Here is a 9,483-nt window from a genome sequence, read left to right on the forward strand (position 1 = left end):
AACCTGAAACAAATGGCTTCTCCCTTCTTCTACCTTCTAACTTCCTGTGAATGCGTCCCATTGGCAGACCCTAATAAAAGGTCATTGCAAGGGAAACTGGGAGAGAAAGTTTGCAGACTCCCAACCCTGATGGTACAGAGGAGGTAGCATGGGGGAGTGAGGAGGTGAGAGGCATGGACACCACTTAGTTTTTGTCCTTATCAGGAATAGGGTGGCCTAGGCACTTTTGTCCTGACCATGGGTATCCCTCTGGCACTTGGCACTTTGAATGCCAAGCTCTACGTGGGAGCACTTCACACACCCTGGTCAACAGGGAGTGGTGAGAGGGAGAGTAGATCCCCATTTCGATTTGGGGGAGGCCTGGGGGCCCTGAATCTTCCAGGAGCATACACAGTGTCAGGGGGTTCACAAACTGAAGTGATGGGCATGGTGCTGAGAAGCCTCCAAAAGGACAAATATTCAACTTGATGAAGTACCTCACAATCAACAGAGACTGAATGAAAACACTAGGGATGGTGCTGCCATTTTTACTAGAAGGACAAGGTAGTGACAAGACATTGGGTGAATGTCAAGAGGCAGGAGATGGCTAGTGACCCCCTAGGAAAGTGGCGAGGGTTAGAACTGACAGTACACAAGTCCTTCAAACCTGCATCTGGCTTCACTGTATGTGCAGAGTGCTGAAGGAGGGGCCAGAGGAGCTGGGTCTGCTGATGCCCACTCCAGAGGCAGGCTCAGGGCAGGCCCATCAGCACCACAGCAGGAGACAACAGTGAGCCCTCGGCGGGCACCAGGCCAATGCTTCCCACGTACTCCTCAGGTAATCCTCGCAGAACACGTCAAGCACACACTATTAGCATCTCATTTTACAGAAGTGGAAACTGAGGCACAGAGTCGTAAGATAAGTTATCTACAATCACACAACCGTTAAGAGGAGAAGCCAGAAGTCACCTATAGAATCCGGAATCTGTTTGAGTCCAGAGCCTGTTTACTGATTTTAAGGGCTGAGAAGTAACTCCTTTAGGATTTTCTAACCTACAGATGGAGAAACGTGGACATCTTGGTGGGGGTGGGGAAATTCAGCCTACCGATCCCCAAAATGTGTTCGAGTTCTTTATTCATTCAAGTAGTAAGAAGTGAAACTGAAAATTTCAGAGGAAGCTCCATGACACAATAAATATCAGAAACTAAATTACATGTTGAGATGAGTTCCCCTGGGCACTTGTGAAATGATTTATCCAGCCTCTGGTGACCTGACTCTTCAGCCCCTCACTCACGTGGAGGCTGTAAAAAGGAAGCGAATGAAGCTTGGGAGAGGAGCTGGGGCCAGGAGCCCCACCCTATCCCAAGAGTGCTTTTTCTTTTACTTCAGGTCAAGAGAGAGGAATTTCAATAGAACACTTGGAGGGCTTCATCCCTGTCCCTTGCAGTCAGGGGATACAGTAGTGGGCAGTGTCTGGCTCTCGCTTGGAAAATCGACAAGATAAGACCATCTTAGTGATTTCACTGACTGCCCCAACAGCAGACGTGAAAGAGAGGTTGTGGCCGCAGTGGGATTGGCCACCTTCTCGAGTTTCTTGGGGAAGGCATACATGGACATTTCCCATGGATTAGATGAGGGCCACAGGGCAAAAGGGCTGGAATGAGACCATCCAAGGTCTGTCCAAAAGGCCCCCTCCCCAGGAGAAGGTGAGCTCTTAGCAGCTGGAAGCTGGAGGGGGCAGCTGATTCCGAAAGGCTATCGACAGAGGAAGCAATGAGACTCAAGAGATGACATCACCCACATTGAGGGCCTAGCACTGGGGGGGGAGGTCTCTGAAGAACTCACAAAAGCACCCACGAGAATCAGCTTTATGCTTGCAAGCAGAGGACAGTATAAGGCAGTCCCCATCAAGTGGACCCTCTCCTGTCCCCTTTTACCTCCCCTCCATTCTCCCTGCCATCCCCATCCAAGTGCAGAACAGTGACAGCAGCTGGCAAGTGAGAAAGGGGGTGAGTGGGAAGGAAGAAACTGGCCTACCTTACCTTCTTCGCAGAAGGCAGGCAGTCTTCCTGCAGCAAGAGGTGGCTCTCATCCAAGCATCCTCTAAGCATTTCCAGGGCACCTGCTTGACACCAGGTCCTGCTTGGGCATGAAGGCAGTAGGGTCATGGGTGAAAGTGAAACGAAGCTGTGACTCCAGCAGAGCCCCTGCCATCTAGAAGCTCCCATTCTAGCCTAAGAGGCTGGCATAGAAAAGGTACTTACAAAATGGTGGGATGCATAACAAAGGCTCATCTTCATTGAGTATCTACTCTGTGTGCTAGGCACTTTGCCTGGATGCTTGCTCAATCCTCCTAACAACCTCGAGATGAGTACTGTTGTGCCCATTTTACAAACGGAAAACTTGGAGCTCCAAGAGGTTATGTGGATTTGAACTCAGTGCTATCTGACTCCAAATGTGAAGTTTTGTTGGTTTGTTTTGTTTTGTTTTTTTTGAGGCAGAGTCTCGCTCTTCACCCAGGCTGGAGTACAGTGGTGCAATCTCAGCTCACTGCAACCTCCGCCTCCCCGGGTTCAACCAATTCTCCTTCCTCAGCCTCCCAAGTAGCTACGATTACAGGTGCCCGCCACCACGCCTAGCTAATTTTCTGTATTTTTAGTAGAGACAGGGTGTTGCCATGTTGGCCAGGCTGGTCTTGAACTCCTGACCTCAGGTGATCCACCCACCTTGGCCTCCCAAAGCGCTGGGATTACAGGCGTGAGCCACCGTGCCCGGTCCAAATGGCATGTTTTTAACCACTCTGCTGTAACAGTACACAGAGGAGGCACCCAGGGTGGGTGGTGTGTGGAAGAATGGGGTTTGGGGGGATGTGCTGATGAGAGAAGTGCATTCCAGAAAAGTGAATCAGCATTTTCGAAGGCTGTGTATTTGTGTGGGTGCAAGACACTGTTTGTGTAGCTGCTAATTAGCATTGATTGAGCACTTACTGCATTTCAGGCACTTTCCTTGTATTTAATCCTCACAGCTTGCTGTGTATTCTCACCGGCATTTTTAATAAAGGAGGGATCTTAGGCTCGGGGAGTTGTAGCCCAGAGACCCACAGACAGTAGAGGAGAGAAACCAGAACTAGCACTCAGGTCTGTTTCAGACTAGCCGCGTTCTCTCCACTACACCAGCCATGTGGCTGGATATTAGCATCAATAGGAAAAGACAGGGATAGTCGACTTCTGAGGGGTGTTCTGGCTGCCCCATCCAACCCCTTTTTTGGAAGTGGCCCCGTAATTTCTTTTTTAGGAAACCATAGCTCCCCAATCGTCCATCTTCTTGCTTTGAGTGGGACCCACCCTACTCTCTGCCGGTCAATATACTGACTACCCTGGCCACAGGATTGATCGGTTCAGAGATGGGCACGTGATCCCAGCTGGTCCAATCACAGGGAGCTCGGGGGCTTGAAAAGGTGCTTCCGGGCGGAGGCTTTCTTCGTGCCTTCCCTGAACTGGGAGGGCTGGGCATGAGGTTCTTCTTCTTCTTTTTAGTTTGCAAGCATTTATTTTATTCTATTCACACTGTACTGGTATTATACAACCTGCAAAAAGTACAAAAGACTAATCCATGTTTACATGCTGGGTCAGAGCCAAGTTGCAAAAAAGGAAGACAGCACAGACAGATACAAAAAGAGCTCAGGTGTCCCGTACAAGCCACAAGCCTCACTGTCACGTGAAGTATTTAAAGCTGTATATATCGCCACAGGAGAATCTCTGGTCTTTGCAGCAACCACACAGAGGTAGGGGTGGGAGGAGGACTAGGCTACAGCCCAACTGGTGTGAAGAGTCGGGGAGGGGGAGCCCAGGAGTGGGGGCAGAATCCTGGGCCCTAACGTGGGCATCTGGTGGGCAGCAGGGCCCCTGATTGAACCCGGCAGGCCGAGCCACTGTGGGGAGACCACATGTTCTCGTTAAGCCGACAGACCATGCTATAAATGAAACTAGAGAGAGTCAGGGACTACTTGTACTTTCTCTAATAACCGCCCACCAGACTCACAGACACAGTGTGTCCCAGGTGGGTCATCAGGCAACTGCACTTCATGTCACAGTAATAAATAGGAGGCTGAGATTACAGTGAAAAATTCAGTGTGGACGTTTCTGTGGGATGGCACAGTGCTTATCACTCTGAATAATGAGGCATTCCTTTCAGTATCTCGAAATGCCAAGTTCCCTCCAGCCTGGGGCTTTGGCACACCCAGTTTCTGCCTGGACTGTTTGTTCTTGCACCATGTCTTCACCCAGATCCCATTCTCCAGATCCTGCATGAATTCTGCTTTTCCCTGGAGCCTCCCTGGACCCCTGAGGCTTGGCTGGCAGCCCCTGCCCCTGGGATCCCATTGTTTCTGGCTACCAAGCAGAGGTCAGCCTGCCTTGTAGCCAGGCTGTGAGCTTTTTAAGAGTGGGGACACTTTTCCTAGTGGTCTCTCCTCTGTCTTCAGTGCCTAGCCTAAGTGCCTGACACATGCTTGTTGCCTGATGACATAAACAGAGGGCAGGAATTGTGTCTGACTCATCTCTGGTTGGGCATCACCCAGGGCTGGCTTCATGGGCTTGCGACCAGTGCCATCACATAAGGCCCTAGAAAGATGGGGCCTTGGTCACCACGTGTGATGTCACCATCATTGTCTTGAAATTTTTAATAATTTTTTTTTGAATTTGTGTTTCGTAAGTGAAGTCTGATGGGACCCCTAAGCATGCTTTAGGGACTTGGAGCCTCAGCTCTCGCACAGTCCTGCCTTCCATCACCTCCCCAGGGTGGGTCAGATACCCATCCCTCCACCTCCACCCCCTGCCCCTGCCCTATGACTGCTGCTGTCCTCCACCCAGCAGGCACACAGAGGATTAGGGGTAGGCATGCACACTTGGTGGCATCTTTTGGTAGGGCATGCTCCAGGGTTAAGCACCACAGTGCATCTGGTGGGTGGCCAGCTGGAGGCTGTGTCTCAGCCAGGTCCAGCCTTTCGCCCACCCCTGATCCAGGTACCCAGAGCATGTTGGCTTAGAGCGTTAAACATTCCCAAGGATCCCTGTCTGCGGTGGGTTGGAGAACAGGCTGTGGGAAGAGGCAGGCTTGGCTCAGCTTCCCCAGACCCCGCCCTAGCCAGGGCAGGTCTTGTCAGTCCAGTCACTGGCTGAGGGTGAACCCAGCTGCCCTCAGACTCAAGCAAGCATGCGTGTCCCATGTTGCAGGGTAAGGCCCCAGGCACTTGTGAACTTCTGTCCTCTCCCTGCTAGTATCCCCCATACCAGAGAGAGTATCCCTGTACCCAGGAATGCTCCAGCAGCTGGCTCTGTGTCAGGTGTGTGTGTATGTGTGTATGTACGTAGGTATGGGTGTGTGTGTGTGTTGGGTGTGTGTGTGTGTGTGTGTTCCTCTCCTCCTCTTTTCAGCCTTGTTTCTGGCTTGTTTGTCTCTTATGGCCACTTAAGGCACTCCCATAGGGTTGAGCCACATAATACAAACTGTAATTTCAGTGATTTTGATAATGCATTAAATGCTCGCTCTTTTGCATTTGAAACTGGAATTTCACAATATAAAGATGAACAGTAAATTCATGCCAGTAATAAAAAATTTTATTTTTTCTTTACTTAGAACATCAAATAGCAAATGAATAGCATCATAAGAAGTCAAGAGAAAGACCATGGAAGAAAGAAGAAACTTTAACAGCGCTTTTTTCATGATCTTTGAACAAGGAGCTCTAAATTATCATTTTGCACTGGCTCTGTCCCAGCTCATGTTTGTTGAGTGAATAAATAAATAAATAAATGCATACATACATATTTATTAGTACATGGAACACACTGATTATCTTCCATTTCCTAACAACACTGTATGTAATCAGGATTGCAGGCATGTTATGAAATACTAGAATAGCTGAATATTAAAATTATTCTGGAATCATGTATGCTTATTGTTGGGGTTATTTGTGACGTCTCCAAAGTCATCACAGTTTTCTCAGCATCAATGTCCTCATCTCACCCCAGTCCTAGTTCTAGTCTTAGTGGAATAGATTGTATCAGACTAATCCTCTGACAGACAACAACGATCAACTGTGGATGAAATTTTAAAACAACTATTTAAAAATGCCAGAGAGCAAACAAAAGCAGACAAGTTAGAGGGACTTCAACCCACGAAATCAATAAACGTACTGACTGAGACTCATGCACACACACATGACAGAGGGACAGAAGCTCTATGAGAGGAGGACCCTTATCCATTTTGTTGATGGCACATAGTATATGTTCAATAAATTTTTGTTGTCAAATGAATGTTTTGTTTGGCCAACCTCACTTATTGTTTTTTCAGTTTTACTGAGGGATGATTTATGTAAAATAAAATTCACACTTTTTAATTGTACCATTTTATGAGTTTCACAAATGTATACAGTTGTATATCTGCCACTATGATCAAGATGTAGAGTATTTCCATCGCCATAGAAAGTTCCTTTATGCCCCTTTGCTGTTTATCCCTTCCCCAGCCCCAGCACCTGGCAATCGCTGACCTGATTTCTATAGCTTTGCCTTTTCCAGAAAGTTGAATAAATGGAATCACACTAAATGTAGCCTTTTGTGTCTTGCTTCTTTCTTTTCTTTTTTAAAAATTATTATTTTTTGAGATAGAGTCTCGCCGTGTCACCCAGGCTGGAGTGCAGTGGTGTGATCTCGGCTCACTGCAACCTCTGCCTCATGAGTTCAAACAATTCTCGTGCCTCAACCACCTCAGTAGCTGGAATTACAGATGTGCGCCACCACACCTGGCTAATCTTCGTATTTTTAGTAGAGATGGGTTTTCTCCATGTTGCCCAGGCTGGTCTCAAACTCCTGGCCTCAAGTGATCCACCCGCCTTGGCCTCCTAAAGTGCTGGGATTTCAGGCATGAGCCACTGTGCCTGGCCTGTGCCTGGCTTCTTTCTTTCACTTGTATAATACCTTTGAGATCCATCCATGTTGTTTCTGTGTATTAATAAATTATTTCTATTATGGCTGAGCAGTATTCCATTGTGTGGATATAACTCAAATTGTGGATTTTGGGGTTGTTTCTAGTTTTAGCAATGATGGATTAAGCTACTATATTTGCATGTTCGTCTTTGTGTGAACAGATTTTCTTTTCTAGGAGTGGCATAGCTGGGTCATATTGGTAAGTGGATACTTAACTTGGTAAGACACTGCCAAACTGCTTTCAAAATGGCTGTACCAGCCACGTAATGAGAGTTCCAGTTGCTCCACATCCTCACCAACACTTAGCATTGTCAGCATTTAAAGAATTTTTTAGCCATTCTAATAGTATGTAGTGTAATCTCATTGTGGTTTTAATGTGCATTTACCTAATGATTAATGATGTCAAGCATTTTTCATGTTCTTATCTACATCTCTTTTTTGATGAAGTTATGTGTTCAACTCCTTTGCCAATTTTAAAAATTGGATTGTTTATTTTCTTATTACTGAACTGTGAGAGCACTTTATATATTTGGGATACAAGTCTTTTATCAAATCTGTATTTTGCAAATATTTTCTCCAGCCTGTGACTTGTCTTTTTGTTCCCTTAATAATGTGTTTTTTGTTTTTTGGGGGTTTTCTGGTTTTTTTTTTCTTTTTTTTTTTTGAGACCAGGTCTCACTCCGTCACCCAGGCTCACTACAGCCTTGACTTCCAGGGCTCCCGCAATTCTCCCACCTCAGCCTCCTGAGTAGTTGGAACTAAGGCACTCACCACCACACCTGGATAATTTTTTGTAGAAATGGGGTTTCACCAGGTTGCTCAGGCAGGTCTCGAACTCCTGGGCTCAAGTGGTCCATCAGCCTTGGCCTCCCAGAGTGCTGGGATTACAGGCACCTTAATAACATCTTTTGAAGAGCAAAATTTTAAAATTTGATAAAGTCCTATTTATCAATTTTTTTCTTTTCTACTTTGTGCTTTTTGTGCCCTAAGAAATCTTTGCCTAACCCAAAGTCACAAAGATTGTTCTCCTGTGTTTTCTTCAAGAAGTTTTAGAGTTTTAGGTTTTATATATTTAGGTCTATGATTAATTTCAAGTGTTTTTTAATATATAGTATGAGATAGGGGTTCAGGTACTTTTTTTTTTTTGCATTTGTATGTGTAGCTGTTTCAACATCATTTGCTGAAAAGACTATTCTTTCTCCATTGAATTGCCTTTGGACCTTTGTCAAAAATCAGTTGGCCAGCTGAGCATGGTGGCTCACATCTATAATCTCAGCACTTTGGGAGGCCGAGGCAGGTGGATCATCTGAGGTCAGGAGTTTGAGACATGCCTGACCAACATGGTGAAACCCCATCTCTACTAAAAATACAAAAATTAGCCAGGCATGGTGGCACATGCCTGTAGTCCCAGATATTCGGGAGGCTGAGGCAGGAGAATTGCCTGAACCTGGGAGGCAGAGGTTGCAGTGAGCCAAGATCGTACCACTGCACTCCAGCCTGGGTGACAGAGCAGACTCCATCTCGCAAAACAAAACAAAACAACAGAAAAAACAATTGGCCATATATCTGTGGATCTGCTTCTGGATTCCAATCTGTTCCATTGATCTATGGGTTCATCCTTTTGCTAGTCCCACGTTGTCTTGATTACTGCAGCTTTATAAGAAGTCCTAAAATCAAGTAACACAGTCCTCCAATTTTGTTCTTCTTTTTCAAAATTGTTTTGGCTGTTCTAGTTCCTTGGCCTTTTTATATGAATCTTAATTTATCAATTTCTATCAGAAAAGGCCGATTTGGATTTTAAATGCTATTGTATTGAATTTTTGGATCAATTCAAGGAGAACTGACATCTCAAGTATATTGAGTCTTCCAATCCATGAACACAGTATATTTCTCTGTTTAGGTCTTCTTTGATACCTCTCAGTGGTTTATAGTTAGATAGTTTTCAGTATGTAGATCTTGCACATATTTTATTAGATTTATCTCTAAGTATTTCATGTGTTTTTGATACTTTGCAAATTGAACTTTAAAAAATTTTTCAAATTCCAATCATTCATTTTTGGAGTATTGAAGTTAAATCGATTTTTATGTATTGACTTTGTATGCTATGACCTGGCTAAATTCACCAGTTAGTTCAAGTTGCTTTTTCATGGATACTTTGGAATTTTCCACAGAGCCACTGTGGCACTGCAAATCAGGATGTTGAACCCTTATATTTCTGTATATCCTTGTATTTGCAGGACTGTCATCATAAAGTGTAGCTGTGGAGAGCACGGTTTTGCAGTCAGACATGGGTTGGATTTTGGTCCTCCATTTCCCAGCTGTGTGACTATGGCCTAGTTATTTGGCCTCTCTGAGCCTCCATCCCATCACTTGTAAAATGGGAAAAAAATCACCCCCTCTAAGATTACATTAGAGAATCGTTAGTTTTCAGAAGTGGAATTGCAGGTTAGCAGGCAGTCACAATTTAAGGTTCTTGGTATCTATCGCCAAAATGTTTGAATTGGAGTGCAACTCTTCACC

The 9,483-nt window shown here is 45.5% G+C and overlaps 1 long non-coding RNA gene across 2 annotated transcripts in view, besides 1 other annotated feature; it reads left to right on the top strand.

The window, feature by feature from the left end:
* Positions 1–6,587, top strand: part of LOC105377727 (uncharacterized) — a 57,398-nt gene extending 50,811 nt beyond the window's left edge. For both annotated transcript variants that reach the window (XR_941225.3, XR_001742994.2), the window contains exon 2: positions 5,618–6,587. This is a non-coding gene — a long non-coding RNA (uncharacterized LOC105377727). The remainder of the gene's footprint in view (positions 1–5,617) is intronic.
* Positions 3,788–3,857: an enhancer, noted in NCBI's record as "active region_23638". NCBI's record gives its function as "activates an Ori minimal core promoter by ATAC-STARR-seq in GM12878 lymphoblastoid cells {active_cell/tissue: GM12878}" and the evidence as "EXISTENCE:reporter gene assay evidence [ECO:0000049][PMID:35858748]".
* Positions 6,588–9,483: the final 2,896 nt, after the last annotated feature.

Source organism: Homo sapiens, chromosome 5 (assembly GCF_000001405.40).
Source record: "Homo sapiens chromosome 5, GRCh38.p14 Primary Assembly".
In the NCBI taxonomy this organism is placed as follows: Eukaryota; Metazoa; Chordata; class Mammalia; order Primates; family Hominidae; genus Homo; species Homo sapiens.